We start from the raw sequence: 21036 nt of genomic DNA on the forward strand, positions 1-21036 counted from the left end.
AGATATGAAAATAAAAGAAAATAGGCTACAGGAATGCTCCCAAGGAGGAAGATCAGTTCTGTCTTGGGAAGGCTGCAGCTGCATAGAGGCGATACTTACAGGTTTTTTCAGGCAGAGGAAGAATAACCCGAAAAGAATGGAGGCATGAAACAGCATGACACATTCACAGACATGTGGAAGTTTAACATGCTTAAGGTTTCATTTTGTGAAGGGAGGCAGATGGCACTGGAAAAGTAGGCAGGGGCTAGATCATGCATGATAATGTTTTTGGATTTCTTTTTCATGAGTGAATGGGAAATCATCAAATATTTTTTGAGTAGGAAAAGTTCAATTCCTGGATTAAAGCTATTACATAAACTAATTCACTTGATTCACAAAACAATTCCACAGGGTAAGTATTATCCCAATTTTCAGATGAGGAAATCAGTTTAATGTTTCACAACTGACAAGTAGCAGAGTATGGAGTCAAAGAGATATCTGTTTGACTCTATAGTCTGTGCTTTTACATAAAAGTATAAAATATGATCCCTGAAGTCAATAAATTAGCAAACTACTGGAGATTTAGGGCTACCATAGAAAACACTAATGGAAAGTAACCAAGCTCTGCACTATACACATTGACTATGAGAGAAAGAGGAGTTGGAGGTGGTAGGTGGTGGGGGGAATCTGTAGAGTTTGGAGCAACCAGAAAGGTTTAAATGGCAGGTGTGGGACAGAAGTTGGAAAGTGAGAACAACTCAATGAAACTAAATGTCATGACAGCTAAATCCCTCCAGTTGACCATCCTGCCCCTCCCAGTTGAATTTGTGTATTTGCTCCCTCTTCCTCCACCATTATACTCTCTTATCTCACATGACTCCCCCTCTCCTGGCCAAAGCATGGAGAGTGAAACTCTACTCTCTTTTCAAATGTTCCCTTTCTCCAACAGGTTATCTAATGAGAGACAGAAAGGCAGACAAAGAGAAGTGTTTCCTTGTCTTCTCCTGGGAGAAGAATATGACCATAGAACATTTCTAGCTATCTTGGGAGGCAGATCTTCTCTAAACATGAGAGAACTTCATGAGCTGGATTCTCCTCATTGTTGATATGCTAAAGGGGAAACAACAGAATCTGTAAAATACCATCCCAAGCCTTGTTTATATGATTATTCTTCGTGCTGTAAAATTCTAGTGTGCATGTCAGGAGCTGAAGAGTATGTTCTACTGGCTTTCTTTCTGTAACCAAATCCTAATTTTCTTCTAGGCAGATGGATTCCTCAGGTGAATTAGGGCAAAGTTAATGTGCTCACAGAGACAACAGGGAAAAGAAATCAATAATAAAATATTGACCACAATACATATCATGTGTGGGTATCCCTAAGAAATATTTCAAGGCCATGGAAAAATGTGGAGACTCCAGAATGAATGATGTAAATTTACTTACAAGTGTGATTTTTATTCAAATTCTAGTTACTCCTTGGCTGAAATAGAGTGAAAATTTAGAAATATTTGCAAATGGGGTGTCTTCCCATTACAATGAAAACATCTCCACAGTCACCATATAATCAGGCACCCTGCAGCTATCTCACTTAAGACATGATACTGCCCAGTCACCTAAGCCTCAATTTCATATATAATCTTATTCTGCATATAAACCAATATTCTTACAAGAGCTTTTTGTTTGGTGATATTTTTTTGGTTCGGTTTTTGTTTGTCTCATCAAGTCTCCATCTAACTCTGTCTAAATTTATCAAAAATATTTTAAGATAAAGACTCATTGTCTTTATTTGATGTTAAGATGTATTAATTATGAGCAATTCTAATGTGGTTAGCAAGTTTGAGCTTTAAAATAGCTTTTTATGTCTCATTGATGGATTTGAATAACTTTCACTCATAAACTGCCCATTAAAATTTCTGTTCCGTTTATTTGTAAGACTTTCTACTTAACTGGTCCTTTTTGCCAAATCAGTACCTATTTAATCTATTTAGGAGCAAGAGTCTATACATTCATGTCTATGTTAGGAATCTGAGCACTTACTAACTCCTGTTCTGCTGCCAAAGTTAGCCTCGCAGAGTTTTTTAAAATGTGAATCTCCACATAGTGACAACACAAAGGCACAACATGACAAAGAGAGAAGGGTTGTGCTTCTCCTAGACCGTGGCTAAAACTGTCAGCTCAAAGGGAGTCCTGACTGAGCTTTACGATGGCCCATGGGGATTCTGCATACACATGTGTACAAGGTAAGTGCAAAAAGTATAAAACTAGGAAGTGCACATTGAAATCAGGGGAAAAAATACACCCAACAAAGTGTGCTGTTGTTAGGAGATGCGCCATAGCTTTCACCCTCCATGCTGTCTGCCGCAGCGCCTCACACCGTAGGTAAATGGAGCCCAGCACTGTGAAGCATTAGGTTTTTAGAAGTGAAGTTAAACTGATAAATTAGACCTCATTTATTGAACAGCAGTTAGAGCCGATTGCCTAGGGAGTCGTTTGACACCTTTGAAGACCCTGCTAACTTAATTGGTGATAGTTTGGGGGCTGAAGGAAACATTTAAGCCAAGAGCAGCAGGACACCGTGCCGCATGAAAATGGAGGAGACAAGCATTCTCTCTGACAAGGGGAGTCATATATAGATTTTTGTGTCCATTGTTTTCGCTTATTTGTGTGTGTGCTTTACTCAGTCAATCAAATATAATTGACACCACTGGGTTCTGTTGTTTTGTAGATGACAGGAGCTAATGCAAGGGAAAAAAGCTGGAAGTAAACTTCCCCCTGAAAGGCTGTGAAAAGGTTTTTCCACCGGGCCTGTGACATTTTTTGCTCAATTGTATTAATTGATGTAGTGACAAGGCACTTGGAAAGATGATGGATACTGATCACTACACCCTTTTTAAGGTTGGGCTATATCTTGCTATTAGCATAAGCACTTGTTTGTGCAAGGAGAGAACAGCAACCCAGGTAGAACAAAAGGAGAGGAAAGAAGGAAGCAGGCTACCTGCACTATGCACCTGACAGAAGAAGAGATTGGGTTTTCTGGGCCAGGGTGCCAAGGCAGTGCTGGGGATGGGCCTTGAGTCAAAGACAAGCTCCTGACTTTAATCTTAACATTGACTCCCCTTGAACTGTGGTCCTTGAGGAGGTTCTGCCCCAGTTTTTTAATCATTTGCTCAGAGCAACAAATGACTCTAAGAGTTCTCGTAAAGTCCTAAGTATTTAATTGCCAGAGCAGAAAACTGAGGAAAACCTACCAGCATTGGAGCACCCTGGGTCTAGAACTGCCAAATTATTCAGGCTAAGGGAGCTATAGGTTTTAGAATGCTCATTTTTCAGAGTCAGTGACAGTGGCAATGATGCGTTACAGTAGGCCACATGGCTTAACAAGACAGTGCCAGGGCTGAAATGACTTTGACTATTCACTGTAGATCTATTCAAAGAAGACCTTGAATACTTAAAATGAGAGTATGCAGAGTAAAGAGTCCATTTTTTTCTGCCTAAGTCTGCCTGAAGGTTGCCAGAATATAATCTGTGGTTCATTTGAGTTACCTGGAGTCATGCGAAATCAACTGTAGTCTTCTTTGGATCATCTCCGGTGTTGAAATCACTTTGTGATATCTGAACTTAACATCCTAAATTCACAGTGCAAATGTGTTTTCAATCACACTAGAAAAACTCCTCTAACTAAAACAATGTTCGTTTATGGAGTTCATTCTTCCTTTTTCTAACATCAAGTACTTTCTGTAATTTCCATTGTTTGGCATTTAGATTTTGAGGTGCATCATTCATTATTATGAAATTTAGAGGGAGGGCTGGAAGAAAAATTAAAGGAAAATTTCCATTATCCAAATCCTTAAGGGAAAAATCAGTAGTTAATTGTACAGTTTAAGGAAGATGAAAGCCCAAACTGCAATTTTGTTCCACAAGTATTTCAAGAAAGCATTTGGTAAACCTCATCACAGAGGAATTTCCACGATATCTGCTGAGCAAAAAACGGAATCTACAAATTTCCGTAAATCCAGATACCCTTATCATTTTTCAGGCATCAGTAGATAGTCTTGGCAAGTACTGTATACAGGAGAAATCTCTGAAGATCCAGCCAAAGTGGGTATTCCATGTCCTTTCTCAGAGAAAAATCCTAGGATTCACTCATTCATTCATTCATTCAACATCTATTTATTGAGCACGGGCTCTGTGCCAGGCGCTGTGGATGTAACAAGGAATAAAAAAAAAAAAAAGACATCTTTGCCCTCATGGATCATTCAGTCTAATATGAAAGAGAGGCATTAATCAGATGATAAACCCAAATAAATTGAAATTTGAAAATTGGGTAAGTGCTCCAAATGAGAGGTAACTGGTACTATGAGAGCTAATCATTGGGAAATTTTACCCCTAACTGAGAATTTAAGGGAGACTTAACTAAAGAAGTAATAACTAAGCTAAGACCTGGAAAAAATAATTACTGACACATGAAATGTAGGAAGGACAGTGAGAGAAGGGAGAATATTTCAGTCATACACACATGGCAAGAGGGACTAGTGCAGTTCTAGGAATTCAAATAAGCCAGAGTGGTTGAAACACAAACAGTAACTGGGAGTGCAATAAAAGCTGAGCTATAGGTTGAGTAGACAGGGCTTAGACCAAACTGGGACAAATAGCTTTAACATACAGACACCATGTAAGTATTTTGTCCTCCTCCACAAAACTCACCTCCTTATTAACCCTTCGCTATTTTTGTTTTTGAGATTGCAGAGTAGTGGTAATAGGTAATTAAAATAATGGAAAAAGTCTGGAGGCGGCCTTTCCCACAGGTTCCTTAAAAAACACCTGCTGTAGCAAGAGGCCGATCAAGGGCTGGAAGCAGTGGCTCATGCCCATAATCCCAGCATTTTGGGAGGCCAGGGTGGGAGGATCACTTGAGCCCAGGACTTTGAGGGCAGCTGGGGCAAGATAGTGGGACTCCCCTATCTACAAAAAATAAAAAATAAAAATTAGCCAGGCATGCTGGCACACGTCTCTAGTTCCAGCTACTCTGGAGGCTTAGGCAGGAGATCACTTGAGCACAAGAGGTTTAGGCTGCAGTGGGCTGTGATTGCCCCACTGCACTCCAGCCTGGGTGACAGAATGAGACCCTGTCTCAAAAAAATATATTTTAAAAAACAACAACAAAAGAGGCAGAGCAAGAAGAAAAAAGGGGGGTAAAAGGAATGCTGTAGGCCATTTCTGGCTAGAAGAATTCTAGATTGCAATTCTATCAGCTCACACTGTTTACATTTAGAGCAAAATGAATCCTCACTATTGGAAAATGTTGGCTCCTTTCATTAATGTTGCTTCAAAAAAGATTCAAGTTAGACAATGAAGAAATCTTTCAGAGCGATGGAATGATACAGTAGTGATAGAGAGCCATCTTGGATTGTGCTCTTAATACCACTAGAGAGCAAAACACTTTTTGTGTTTGAGAAATAATGTAAGGAGTTATACTTTTCTGGGATCCTTGCTACCAAGACGCTACTAGAGAAGATCCATTAGTAGAGGAAAAAGCCTTGGCCATAACTGATTGCTGGCACTTTGGCCATGGCAACAACAGTTACAGAGAGGAAGAACAGATGCAGTAGGAAGTCCCAATACCTTGTAGAGAAGCTGCTTGTTAGCACCAGCAGCTCTTTGCCCACCTCTGTCTGAATTCTTAGAGAAAATCAAAATGGAAAAGTATGAATGTCATCTGTGACTTACAATCAGTTCCTTAAAAAAAAAAATGAGCATGAATGTAGTTTTCCTGGCAGAGATGCTTCTGGCACACAGAGCCATGGCTACTTTGGAGAGTAGAAGATGCTGCTTTGAGCCTGGGCTCTGACACGACACTAGGAAAATACAGCCAAATGGGAAATACAGAACTGACCATTCACAAGTGCTCTTGATAAAACATTGCAGGAGATGGAATTCTCAGAAAACATTGTCAACAGAGATTAGATCTATAATACACTTGTGGCAACAAGCCACATGGTTTTATATATGATTAGGTAAGGCTCAGTTGTTCCCCTTCACACACACACACACACACACACACACACACACACTCTCTCTCTCTCTCTCTCTCTCTCTCTCTCTCCCTCTCTCCCCCCCCCCGCCCTTGCAGGCCACTATGGTATTCTCCTAGCCACCCATTCCAGGGAATCCTATCTTGTCACTGTCCACTCCCTCACTGTGTTCTCATTCCCTTCTGCACATTTACAGGTATTATTCCTCTGCCTGGAATGGCTTCCACACACCCACACAGCCTCCTGTCTAGTTATGTTACAGGAAAGGAGTCCCAATCCAGACCCAAGTTAGAGTCTGCATGACCATTCAGATCCACCCCAAATCCTTCTCTCCTTTGTGTATCGTTTTACTACCTGAGCCCACTCTAATTGTTTTCTTCTTTCTGGTCAAAATTATATTTTTGTGTGTTCATATGATTTACCCACCACAACTGTAAGGTTAACAAGGAGCACACATGAATAGTGCTTCATCAGTTGTCTATTGCTGTGTTAAAAAAAAAAATATTTGGTGGCTTAAACAACCACCATTTAACGTTGCACAAGTCTACAGGTCAGGTGTGTGGTTCTGCTGATCTGTGCCAGGTTTGGTTGATCTCAACTGGACTCATAAGAGTCAGCTGTGGGTTAGGAAGATAGACCTAGTGATGTTGGCTGGGGTCTCTTGCATGTCTGTGTCCTTGCTTGGGACAACTGGCTGATTGGACTCTGGTTCCTGTGGGCTCTCAACCTCTATCAGGGCTGGTGGGCTTGCTCACGTGGTGGAGGCAGAGGTCCTGAGGGAACAAGGCCTCTTGAGGCCTAGACTAAAGTTCGACATGCCACTTTACTTCATTCTATTGGCCATGTACATGCACACATACATACACAAAATGTTCATGAATAATAAATAGACATACAAACAGAGTAATTATGTCAATTCCAAACTTTCCCCACATATAGCTGAGGGAAAGGCTATGTCCCCTTCTGTCACTAACCTTTGTCCAGATCATCTACCATCTTTTTTTTTAAATGCCTCTCGAGTCATAAATCCACCATCTATTTTTATGGTTCAGGCTAGTCCATGACATGCTGATTTATATGAAGCCACATTAAAGTGGTCACTTCCTTATAATGACTGGGAATTTTATATCTCTCTGCTTATAATTAATAAAAGTGCAGTCTCTGTTATGAGTTCTTCAACTAATTAGCTATGACAACTTCTCACTACTGTCATAGAAAGCTGTGCTAATGCAAAAAGAAATCAAAACAGAAGCATGGTTCTCAGGTTCAGTACATAAGCCTGCCCCAGGTCCCTGCACATGCAAAAACCATCCACTTATCTATTTCCTCACCAGTTGGAAGCAAATGTTTGTAGATCATACCCTATCTTTTAACAAAAAAGGAAATATTTCTGGCCTGGAAGCTTCCCAGAAGCTGTCTCCTCAGCAGCAATCAGTTCTTTCCTTAATGCATACTTTCTGCTTGTCCTTCAAACATCCCTCTCTGTGTCCCTCTTTCCAGCACCGTGGCTAAAATTGCCTACTTGCTGTTTCATTGAGGTTTTGCTGCATAACTCCTGTGTATGTTCTGGCAGAAAATGTGTTTTATATATTCCTTTGTCCAGTGCTGTGAAATAGTTTGAATTACCAAAAACTATGTGATTCATTTACAACCAAATATAAATCTTTGGTAAAGAAACAAAGTAGAAATCTCCTCCAAGCCAGGGAGGACCAGCTAGTTGGAAGTCAATATTGCGTGACAAATTTTGTAGAAGAAGGGGCTAATACTCATAAGAATCACCTCACATCACCCTGCTGGTCAAAGCTGCATATCACCCAACAATACGATACCAGGTGGCCTCACCCCAGGAGGGGATTGGGTCCAGGTGGACTTGTAAAACAAGAGTAGGCTTGTCCTACCCTGATCTCCCAGAGACCAGCACTCTGACCAGGGGGCTTTCTGCCTAAGCCAGCTTTGGGACACAGGAATTTGGTTCCAAGAGTCTGGGGTGAGGAGTCTTTTCCCAGAGCTCATACCATTAATCCAGCCAAAATATGCTTTTTCCAGAAAGATGAGAGTTTTCCTGAGCACAAAGGAAATGCTCCTACAGAAAGGCAATACAACCAGGTTTCAACTGACTTCTGGGTTTCAACTGACTTCTATTTTCCCAGATAAACCAGCATGTTCAGATAAGCCACAGTGCCTCACATCTCTAGTATCTTTGTTACTACTCAAGGCATAGATTGCGAGCTCCAGTTATTTTCCTTTTGTATACCCTCACCCCACTGCTGCTCTGTGCTGCTTTTCTTTTGTCCTTCCTACATGCACTGATCCAGTCTTTCTAATGAGCCTAGAAACCTCCATCCCATGGTTAATAAAGAGCTCCTATATCTTTAATCACTTCCCTAACTGTCCTGTTCCCAGCTGGTCAGAGCAAGAAGCCTGGCTTTCTTCTAAACTCATGGCTCCGGGGAAAGGACACTTATTTCCTCATTCCTTGCATCTCAGGGTCAGGAGGTGGGAGAGCATCCTCCTCACTTCTCAGGATTATTTCCTCTCTCATAAAAAACCCCTGCATCTTTGACATAGCAATGTGGTTATACCACCCTTCTAACCGCTGTTCCGTACTAGCCTACCAATCACTTGTTTCATTTGCTGTAGATTTTGGTGTCTGGCTTAGCCTCTCCCTCTCCACTCCAAGCTCAATCACCACTCTAGGTACCTTTAGTGTCCATGAAAAATAGACCATCCCACTTCTTAGCCTTGGGGCTACTTCACTTCTTCATCTCCAATGACCTTACCTCCAATGGGCCAGTCTATTCTGCCATCTGCTTGGAATGTATCCAGCCACAACCTGGAATGTATCATCACCTAGAACTTCTCCACCTCTGAAATCAAACATTCACACATTTTTTCCTGATCTCAATCTCCTTTTCTAACAGTTCTCTCATCAGTTGCTCCTATACCACCCATTCTTCAACTCCAGCCTACTGAACCTCTGCTTTTACCTTCTTTTTTATTTTAATTAATTTATTTATTTATTTTGAGACAGAGTCTCACTCTGTCACCCAGGCTGAAGTGCAGTGGCACAGTCTTGGCTCACTGTAACCTCTGCCTCCTGGTTTCAAGTGATTCTCCTGCCTCAGCCTCCCGAGTAGCTGGGATTATAGGCACCTGCCACCATGCCCGGCTAAGTTTTGTACTTTTAGTAGAGACGGGGTTTTACCATGTTGGTCCAGGCTGGTCTCAAACTCCTGACCTCAAGTGATCCACCTGCCTCAGCCTCCCAAACTGCTGGCATTACAGGTGCGAGTCACCGTGCCCGGACTGCTTTTACCTTCAAATACTTACTCTGTCACTTCAAACACACTCTTGGCGATAGCATCTAGCATCGACCCCCTCACCCTTTTGTCCTATTACTTGTTCTGGAAAACCACAGACATTGTATCTACTTAAGTGACAGCCTTGTTGGTACCTCCTAAGGCCACTGATCACACAGCAATGAAAAATGGTTTCTCTTTATATCCAATGTTTCCACTCGTAACCACGTCTAAGGACTGCCTGGCATTTCTGCTGTTTCCTTGTCAGTTCTCTCTCCCAGAGGTTGGGAGTCCAATTTCCACCCATTTTTTTTTCAGGCCCTGTTGTTGACAGTGGAAATGCAATCTTATACAAGACGTTGTTCCCTACCCATCAGAAGCTTATTCTGATGAAGGGAAACAGATACACTCAAAAAATCAATGAAAAATTCTATGATGAAAATCAAACTGGATGATGTGGTGGGCACTAACTAGAGGCTCTTTTAGGTTGTGTGTCAGAAAAGGCTCCACTCGGGATATAACAAGCAATCTGAGACCCGAGTGACAGAGCCAGCTATGCAAAAAGCTGTGAAAAGCCCACCTCACAAAGTAAAAACGACTCCTTGCAAAGGCACTACTGCGATACTACTTCAGAGTGCTTGGGGAACAGCAAGAAAGGCAGGGACTGCAAAATCACTGTGAGCAAGGGAGAGAATGTGATAGGAAATGAGAGGATAGGAGCAGGCAGGGGATAGATCTTTCAGGCCAGGGAAAGGAGTCCGGATTCATACTCCACATGCAAATGAAAGCTATTGGAGGATGTTTTGTTTTGTTTTATTTTACTTTGAAGAGTAACATGATTTGATTTGGAATTTTCAGAAGATCACTCACATCAAAGTGTTTTCTCTCCCCATGCCTTCAACCGCTTTCTCTCTCCTGGTTCATTTCCATCTCTATCTGACTATACTCAGTTCACTCCCGTCTCTTGAGCAAACACTACCCTGACATCACCGTCTTCTCTGCCAGGGTCTCTCTTTTCTTTGCACAGTCCCCCTTCCTGTCTTCCCACTTCCTCAGCCACTGGCCCCAGAATCCTGTGCTCGCCATCCACCCAGTTCTCATGGAAGCCTCTGGGTGCTGCAGCTGCTTAGTTAATGGCGCCTCTTCAGCCCCTTCTTACCTGACCTCCCTCCAGAGTTCTTGTGATTTCCTCACACTTCTCTGACTTCTCCCTTTGATTTCTTGGGCAAGGTCCACTTCTGCTTGGTCCTTCAATGTTCCACACACTGCCCCAGAATGGCTTATCTCCACACTCCACACCACCCAACACACACACACACACACACACACACACACACACACACACCCTCCATTTCCATCTACATTTTGATGTCTCACAAATTCAAATCTGCTATATCTCTCTACCAGGCTCCAGATTTGCTTGATTGTCCCATAAGCCCCTAAATCACATGAAATCACAAATTAAACTCATTATATTTTCCCAAAATTCTGCCTCTTCTTGTGTTTTCAATCTCATTTGCCAAACGTGAAACCTATATCCCCTCTTCTCCTTACCCCCACCCCATAACCAAAATTGTCAACACTACCTCCCAATACTGAAACTTGTATCCCCAGTTACAGACATATCTGACCATCATCTCTCACCTGGATTATGGCAACAGTCCACACCAGACCATTCTGCCTCCATTATTGCCCTAATCAATCCTTTCCCTCATCACAAATACAGTGGGTTTTCGAAACCCAGAGGCTTCCTTACTTCTCCATTGCCCTCAGAATAAAGTACGTTTGCTTGTTTTTGAGGCAGGGTTTCACTCTGTTGCCCAGGATGGAGTGCTATGGCACAATCACAACTCAGTGCAGCCCAACCTCCCCCACTTGAGCGATCCTCCCACCTCAGCCTCCTGAGTAGCTGGGACTACAGGCATGGGCCACCAGTCCCAGCTATTTTTTTTTTTTTAATTTTTTGTAGAGACAGGTTCTCAATATGCTGCCCAAATCCTGGGCTCAAGCAGCTCTCCCACCTTGGCCTCCCAAAGTGCTGGGATTAGAGGCCAGTACAAACTGTTTAATACAGCTTTCCTAGGTCTTTCCCCTGAACATCTTACTCCACCATACATACTCCAGCCACAATAATTATTTTTGCTTTCATGAACATGAACTCCCGCCTGTGGACATTTGTACATGATGCTTCCTCTACTTGAAAATCTCTTCTGTCTACTGCTTCACCCCTGCAACTCTTCGTTCTTCAGATCTAAGACCTCTAAGGAGGTGTTTCCTGGATACCACCTGTCTCCAGTTAGTACCTCCTCTGTTTCCCCATAGCTTCCTTCAAGATCACGTATCAAACTGAATTATAGTTTCCTATTTGTTTTTATTTCCCATTAGACTTTAAGTTCTATAAAGGCACACCCTATTTGTTTCCATCTATCACCAACAATTAGCAGAATTTAGCACACAGATGGTTCTCAAATGTTTGTTAAATATTTTGACTAAGAATGTAATGCCCAAACAAAATAGTTCATTCTTTTTGCAAAAAAAAAAAAAAAAAAAAAAATTGATTGTTGCATAAATAGGCCTTCTAGTTATCATATCTACAATCCTCCTTCTTCTCTGATATGGGATCTGGGGGAATAACTCACAACTTGGGGGAAAGGAACCGAAGAGTTTGACCTTCCCTCTTTTCTTTTCTCTTCCTCCCCCTCTTCGGCTTCCCTAAACCTCCTTTAACGCTTCCTTTGATTTTTCAATGGAAAAAAAATCATTTGGTTTAGAGTATCCTCTTGAGAGGTAAAGTTGCTTTTCCAAGTAGAAAACTGAAAATTAGAGTGCAAGAAAGTGTGTAAAGAAATTTTTGTTTTAATCCATGCTCCAATTTGACAAAACCTGGATAGTACAAAACTAAATATTATGTGTGTAACATCAAAGAGATCCTCACCTGACCATTTTGTATGTTTTACTGTGAGGCCTTCTCTACCTTCCTTCCCTCCCTCTCTGATAATCACAAACAGCAGGGTATCTCTGAGTCCTGAGAGTTCTGCATCACCCACACAAGGCTAAGAGAAGGCCTTGAAGACAGAGCCAGGAACCTCTTCATTTGCCACCCTTAACCCACATCCCATGCCCAGCATAGGCTATTTCTTTTTATAAAACTATGCATTATAAAATTGAGGCGGGGGAGAAGGAGAGAAAATAGCACAATGGCAGCTGCAGCAGGCCGGGTAATCCAGGAAGCAAATCCAAGACAAAATTAGAAATACAAGAGATTTATGAGATTTATTGGGGAAATGTCTGTGAAACATAGAGAGGAGAGGAAGCAGGTGAAGGCTGTGAGATCCCCAGGCCATGATGTAAGTCTGACACCTGGGAAAAAAAGAGGAAGAGGGAAGGAGGAATGGGTACAAAGAGCCTCAGATGACAGTACAGTTCTGAGAATGTTTTAGCCAAGCCAGAGAGGAGAGCCATTCGATGGGTCCCATGTTGGCAGAAATGTCCCACCTCCAGTCTCCCTGCTGTGCAGAGTTATTGGCTAGAAGCAGCCTGGGGAAGGCGTAGCCTCAGAATGACTGCTGTGGTAGCTGGAGCTCCTCCCAGCAGCTTCTGTCTGGAAGGAGAGTTGAGCCGTGTACCTCCGTGGCTGGCGCAGTGGCTTCTGAACTTCTTTGTGAGTTACTCAAACACCAGTCTGCTGTTAAGAGGGAAACTTAAAGTGAATGTCATGTATTACTTTACCTCATCGGTTCTCAATCAAAAATCAAAAGTCAATTTTGCCCCGAGGGGATATTTGGCAATGTCTTCACATTTACAATAGTCACCTCTGGCAGGGGGGTGGCTGGGGGAGGTTTGGGGGAGGCATCTAGTGAGTAGCAGCCAGATATGCTGCTAAATGCCTTACAATGCATGGCACAGCCCACCGCCACAAAGAATTTAAAAATTATCTGGCTTAAAATGTCAGTGATGCTCAGGTTGAGGAAGCCTGCTTTACATCAAATAGAAAAATCTGAATTCCATTTCAAGGAAAGTAGTTCTTTCTGTATCAAAGAATGCAAGGTGGCAGGGCAGGTGAGCGAGGGGACATGGATAACACATGTGGCATGTCACTGTACATCTGGAGAGCACTGTAGACCCAAAATTCTACTTTCAAACCTTCCTCATTTCTTATTTCAGTGTGTATAGCCTATGAAATAAATCACACGCACATTGAGAATAATATGAAGGCAGAATGCCACATCTACTCCGGAGTCCTGCGTCGTCTACCAGCTGTTGATATGGGTGTCCCATACAGAGTTCTCATCACCTGCAGGACTGAGGAAAGACTAACTTTTTGTCAGAAAAGAAGAAAATGACCTAAAACTCTACCTTTCTGTGCAACACATACCATGTTCTTTACAGAGTTAACATTCTAATATAAAACATAATTGTTTAACGAGTTTTAGTTATAGGTGGGGGATAATAAAACTCCCATTTTCCTTTCCTACCACAGTGCCCAAACACTGTCTTCTTTATTCCATTACTCCAGGGTGAAACTGTAGTGGTGAAAAGGTACCCTGACCAGTCTGCTGACAGATCACTCTCATGGCCAAGAGTGGAATTTCTTAAAGTAGATATAATAATAAGAGTTTTGGAAATAATGTATTTGAAAATATGAAAGTTGCCCAGAAACATGAGATTATTCCCGGCAGCCTAAAAAAAAGAAACAGAATTGGCCTTTGTGTTACCACTGTGCAAAACCATGGTCAGCCGCCAAAGAACTCAGCTGAAGATGGTAAGAAGAAATCGACAAAGAAAATTTTAATAAGGGATTTTAAAAAAAAGGAAGAAAAGAAAAATAAAAACCTGTTCAATCTCCTGCCTTCCACCTGCACTGATCCCCACAAGAGAAGGAGTAGATGATACTGAAACAAAGTGATTTCACTGCCAGTTCATAGTTCTGGGGAAAGATGAGTTAGAAAGGATCACCTGAATTGGAGGTAGAGTCATCTGTAGATTTCAAATATCTGCTTCACTTTTGTTCCATGTTACTGTAAATAATTATCAAGTGACAGTAAAGATTTATAAAAGCATTTAAAACAATGAATAAGGAGAGTTGGTGGAGTTATAAGGTGGTTTTCTTGGTTCATGAACTTGTTTGCAAAAGACGCATGGCCTTATACTTAAACATGATATAAAGGTCCAACAAAGCTATTACAATCTAATAATAAAATTATACAATGTTTCTTTCCTCTATAGCTAATGCAGGCTTTACTTAAAAAAAAACAAACAAACAAACAAACAAAAACAGTATCAGTTTCCAAAAGGAACTTACCTTCCATTCTTGTCAGACATTCAGGAACCAAGCTTCTCATTTTGAGCTTCTTATATTATGTAAAGAAATGCATGACTAGGCACAGTGGCTCAAGCCTGTAATCCCAGCACTTTAGGAGGCCAAGGTGGGCAGATCACTTGAAGCCAGGAGTTGGAGATCAGCCTGGGCAACATAGTGAAACCCCATCTCTACAAAAATACAAAAATTATCTGGGATTGGTGGCACATGCCTGTAATCCCAGCTACTTGGGAGGCTAAGGCACGAGAATCACTTGAACCCAGGAGGCAGAGGTTACAGTGAGCTGAGATCACACCACTGCACTCCAGTATGAGCAACAGAGCAAGACTGTCAAAAAAAAAAAAAAAGAAGAAAGAAAAAAGAAGGAAAGAAGAAAGAAAGAAAGAAAGAAAGAAAGAAAGAAAGAAAGAAAGAAAGAAAGAAAGAAAGAAAGAGAAAGAAAGAAAAAGAAATTCACAGCCAAACTGGTATGCATTGAGTCTCTGGAGGCTGAAGACAAAAAAGTTTTTAATCTTATTTGTGCCATTTAAATATTTATAAGATTTAAGAAAAGGATTTTCCTTTTCTTTTTTAATCCGTGACTGTAAGGGACCAATTTGGAAGTCAGAAAATTTAGAGAAAATTGTGCTATTGACGTGCTGACTTTGGCAAATGAGCCTTAGATTCCTCTTTGTATACCTGCCTTCTTGCTTCAGTTAATTGGAAGTACATGCAATGACAGAAATAAAATCTCTGGCTCTTTGAAAAGTAGGATGCCATGGGAGAAAGACTTTTTAATAATTTTCTCTATTATGAAGGGCTTAGGTCTGGAGGATAGAGGCAAAAACTGCAAATCCCCCTTGTTGTGCATTCACTCACATTCACTACCAAGGCTCCCATTTTGATCATTCCCCTTGACCAGAAAATGGAGAGTGCAAATGTGTGTTCTTAGATGCAGGAAAAATAAACATCCACCAGCTTCAGCTTCAGAAACACGCATGAGGAGCCTTCAGTTTGCAAAGCAACAGCCTCACGTAATAGACGACGATGTGTACATGATTCACTGCAGCTTTTGACACTTCACAAATCAAGTCTGATTGGGTTTCTCATTGAAGCGATCTGACAGCATAACCAGAAAGCCTCCTGGGGCTGTTCTTTTTTTCTCCTTAGCAATGGATAAAAACAACCCAGAAACAGTCATTTTGGAAGTGGTAGTATCCAAACTTAGTTTTCTATTTTATTTATTGTCATGTAATTGCTTCTCTAACCCACTGTATTGATCTTGAGTGGGAAGGGAAGGGGGTTGGATGGAAGAAGAGCATTGCTCCGAGTCAGACATCTGTGTTTAGTCCTGAGGGAAAGAAATAAATAGTCCCAGCCTAGAAGAAGAGGGAGGGGAGAGGAGGTGGAAAAAAAAAAAAAAACCCAGAAGATGGACTGGTTTGCAAGGGATCCCAGTGGATTCCTGCTTACACCAGAGCATCATTTAAGCCTATGTTCTTCCATCTACCTTGTTTGCAGTAAATAGCTGCCCATTATGTCAGGTCAGGCAAGTGCCGGGGCGTCACAGCTCAGTGGCCGTGATCAGCTCACAGAGCAGCAAGAAAAGGCCCCCAGAGAGCAAACGCATGTGTCAAGTTCTGGAGCCGTCAAGGTTCTAAGCGACAGCTTATCTTGAAGGTTTAAAACATGCAAGCTGTCCCTACTTGCTTCTCTCTCCTCCTCCGCACCTTTCACTCTCCCTCCTCTTCTCCCCCACTCCACTTATTCCCCCTCCCCTAGTCTTTTTGCCTCTTGACAATCTGCTTGAAAGAAGACAGATGCTGGAGCAGTTTTCCTTAAGTTGGCTCTAATTCCATAAGGTGCAATCCACCAAACACAACTCTGTCCATCTTATGAAAAGGCTAAGATCCTGAGGCAGCCCCATTTATTATTTGTCTTGACACTAACACAAGTATTTTCAGATGGGTTGGAGGCTGTCACTTTACTATCTTATGTTCTTTGCCCTCAATAAATAAGACACATTAAAGTTCTTAAAGGCAAACAAAGAACTGTATCCTGGGTACCATTTGTCCTGCAGTTGCCATGTTTAATTGAACATTTTATAGCACTCTAATGCCATGTCAGGTTCTTAATGTGACATGTGTTCCTCTCTTACATTATCAAGGGCTAAGAGCATCACAGAATCTTCCTTGGATTCGTGCGTATGAGGAATAAGATTTATCCTGTGAGCTTCACTGAATCATTTATGAGTTGCCTTATCTTACCCAGGCAATTTTATAACTCATAAATGGCCCCTGTGGTCTGCTGTCTGGATTTTGTTTACTATAAAATCCCAAAATAGTATGACTATTTTCAAGATAGCAAGCTAAATTTTGCCGCAGTATAGAAGTACTCCGTATCTGTCCTTTATTTTGCCATTTGCTGGTCCCAGTTACAAGCATGGAACCAATCTGGGGAAAGGACGAGGCTCACGGATGGCACTTTAGAATCTCTAGTCCTACTATAGGGCAAAGGTAAGAGCCAGTGACTGCCAAAGTTTATAAAGTAATTATGGTGTTTGGCACTTATCTTTAGAGAATGCTGTCCTGGACAGAGCTAGACAGCAGTGGAACCCCTAGCTGCTTATGTTCCAGCAGAAATTAGCCATGTCTCAGCAAGATACACACTCAAACCAATACTGAAAAAGTGCAGGATGTTGGCCAAATCGGGAAGAGATTAACTATGTTTAATTAAGAGGAAAAGAAACGTGAATGTTAGGTGCGTAATGAAAGGGGGATTGTGGGAAGTTGTGTTTTTGTCATGTCATTTTCAATGGGAAAACTTCATGAAATAGATGGATGTACAGGGTGTCCTGAAATGAGAGACAGCCAGCTCCCTGGGCTTACTAAGTCCCTGTCGCATGCAAAATCCTCAGCTCCATACAGAGTGCTGTGAGTGCTTACCCAGACAACACAATTTCTTTCCAGCTCAGTCATGGGCTAAATAATTTAAACATTTCATAATTTAAATATTTCAGGAATGTCTTAGGCAGACAATGTGGTTTTTCAACCAGCACATGACCACAGTGTCCTATTTTCCCCTGAGTATTCTGAGTTTTTCTATGTATTTCTGGTAATAAATACAACTTAGTATTCATTTCTGATGTCTATTTATTTCAGGGTGACTGAGTATTCAAATACTTCCTGTAATACATAAAATGTATGAGATACTTTTTGCTTTGAATCAAAATTATATTTAATTTTTCAAATATTTCCCTTAAAATTCAATCACCAGCCAGGCATGGTGGCTCATGCCTGTAACCCCAGCACTTTGGGAGGCTGAGGCAGGAGGATCACGAGGTCAAGAGATCGAGACCATCCTGGCCAACATGGTGAAACCGTGTCTCTACTGAAAATACAAAAATTAGCTGGGCGTGGTAGCACACACCTGTAGTCCCAGCTACTTGGGAGGCTGAAGCAGGAGAATTGCTTGAACCCGGGAGGTGGAGGTTGCAGTGAGCCGAGATCATGCCACTGCACTCCAGCCTGGTGACAGAGCAAGACTCATTCAAAAGAAAAAAAAAATTCAGTCACCAACCAAACACTGGAAGGGATTTTTTCACATTTTTGCATAAGAGGCAGTACAGCCCAGTTCATGGTATCTTTATTTCACAGCTGCTCTGTCATTTTTCTCTTGAGTCTCAGTTTACTCATCTGTAAAATGGAAATACTGACACCTGACTTGTAAGCCTGTTATAAATATTAAATATGAAGTGTCTAATCCAGTACCTAGAACATTCATTGGCATGAAATAAATGCCCACTGTTGTTGTTTTCATTATTATCAGATATGTGTAAATTTCATATGTGAAACTCTAGAAAAGATTGTGTGTAAAATTTTGCAGACATTTTGGCACTTTAACTTTCCATCATAGATTATGGTAGTGACAGGATAAGGATGGGGAAATTGGCTACATTCATCATTTATTCTTTCCACAAATATTTATTGAGTGCCCTACCCTACATAAGCATTATGAAAAATGACAAGAGAGATGGCAAATACTTCAGCAAAATAGTCATGAGGGTTAGAGTCAAAACTAAAAACTTCAGTCACTGAGTCTATGCAAAACCTCTTGATGGGTTTTCAAGGAGAGGTTCTAGATTCTGTTCCTCTGTAATGTACCCTTCATGGGAAATCAAGTAAATCTAATGATTCAGACTCTTGGATCCAAGGGCTCACTCCATTCCTGCAGATTTCTTCAAATTTCTACCAATATCCTCTTTACAGAAAGCCAATGTTGTGCCTTTTCTTACTTGAATTTGTCATAAGAGAAGGCTGACAAACCTATTCTTATCTTCTTATCCTTCCTAGTCATTGTAGAAACCTCTGTTATTAAAATATTTTTTACAGATGAGCAATTCATACCATGCCTATAATAAATTTTTCCATTTTCCCCAGGATGCAAATGTGAGAAACATCAAAGAAATTCAATTATAAAAACCTATTTTCATTCAGTTAAGGACGGGAAAATTTATTATGGGTTGCTATTTGCCATGTTTCACATGGGCATAAATGAATTCAATTTCAATCAAAGTATTAAGTTTTTCCTAATAGGTTTTGACTGGACTGAACACAAGCATCTTGACATGTGTACTGAGAAGATACAGCTCTGCAAACATGCCTAAGGAATGAAGATTTTGTAAAAAAGAATTTAGCTACCTAGAAACATTTAGAGATCTGGTTCTGGACATATTTATTTAAGCAGGGTATATGTGAGGTAGGACAATTAAGATTTTGATGTGTGACTTTAAGTTGTCCCACTTTGAATACCTGGTTTTATCTGAGAAAGAAGCATGAGATCCCCGCCACAACTCCACTGGACACCCATTTGTTTTTCAATGAATTCTGTGTGGTTTCTCTACTTCATGCCACTGTGGGAGAGATTCTGGGTGTTCTCAAGCATCCAGATAACTAGGGGTTTTGCCTTCTTTATAAATATTAGATTATGTATGACCAGTGGTGTATTCTTTCTCTGTAAAAGGCTTTTTCCCTCTACTCGCTTATTACAGGAGGAAGCACAATATAGAAGTTTTACTTGTCCTTTTAGCCACAGAATCTGAGTAAAATGTAAAAGTAAAATTATTCCAAATGAGGGGCAAGGCAGATGACCACAGCACCTTCGTGTTCCAGGTGGCAAAGCAGGCCTCCAGCTGGGGAGGGTATATTGGTAGAATCTCTCACAAACTAATTTGGCATTGCTTTCTATCATTCAAATCTGAATGACTCAGAAATTTTACTCCCAGGTATATACCATAGAGAGATTGTTGCCCATGTGCACCAAAAGAACTGTACAAGAATCATTTTAGCAGCACTGTTTGTGATAACAAAAACTGAAAATGTTTCCAGTGTATACTAAAAGGAGAGTGAATAAATAAATTGTGGAACTTTTACACAATGAATTATTATAAAGCAGTGAAAATAAATATTATCTTCATGCAATAATAATATTGAAACATAATGAAACATGAAAAAACAAGTCAGAAAAACATATACACACATCCATCCATACATGGATACATATATACATATAATAATACTATTTATATAAAGCTCAAAATTATACAAAAATAAAATGTAAGAGTGTTTACCTCCAGGAGTTGGTGCAGTGCAGGGGGATGTGAATGGAAGCATCACCTAAGTTTTAATAACAGTATTAGTAATTTTTGTGGTCTTCAGTTGAGTAGTAGCTGTGCTAGTGTTGATTTTATTACCATGCCTCATGGTATACATATATCATCTTGTATGTATGAAATATCACATGCTAAAAAACAAAACTCAATTTCAAACAAAATCTTACCTAAAACAAAAGATTAGTGGACTTCAAACCAATTCACATATATATGGGCCTAATCCTAATAGATAATTTCTGAGTGCCCAGCAGTGGAGAGATGCAATTTAGAGACAACACACAGGACTATTTCAGAGTTTATCTGCAAGTCTTGCTTTAAATTTTCCAATGTTATTTGCCTTTTTCACATCTATCATAGCTTATGAATGAACTTCTGAGGGTAACATTTACTTGATGAAGCTTCCAGGAATTATTTAAAATTGTCATGCTTAAGATATCAACTTAAATTGTACATATCCACGTTTGAGATCTCCACAGCATATTCTTTACCTTTCTAAGGGATTTCACAGAGCTTTGCAGGCAAACTTACAGACTAAGGAGACAGACACACTAACAATCCTACAGTTTGTGTGCTGCTAAAATACCCACGGTAGCCCTATTTTAAAAAATATTTGTTATTCCCTTCTACTTCAGAAGAAGTTCACTATATATACCCTATCTTAATTTCTCAGTAAGATGGGAAACTTTAGAGGTTATCTGTGCTCTGGTCTTTGAACCCTGGTGAAAGTCACTCTTCAAAGTCATGAGGAACTGTAAT

At 40.7% G+C, this 21036-nt stretch overlaps 1 long non-coding RNA gene across 1 annotated transcript; it reads right to left on the bottom strand.

Moving 5' to 3' along the window:
* Positions 1-12564: 12564 nt before the first annotated feature.
* On the bottom strand, positions 12565-15666 carry LOC101927357 (uncharacterized). The gene is made up of 2 exons (NR_134281.1): positions 13507-15666; positions 12565-12995 (listed from the first exon to the last, which is right to left on the bottom strand). It is a non-coding gene; the product is annotated as an uncharacterized LOC101927357 (long non-coding RNA).
* Positions 15667-21036: the final 5370 nt, after the last annotated feature.

This window comes from Homo sapiens, chromosome 5, assembly GCF_000001405.40.
Source record: "Homo sapiens chromosome 5, GRCh38.p14 Primary Assembly".
NCBI classification, from domain to species: domain Eukaryota; kingdom Metazoa; phylum Chordata; class Mammalia; order Primates; family Hominidae; genus Homo; species Homo sapiens.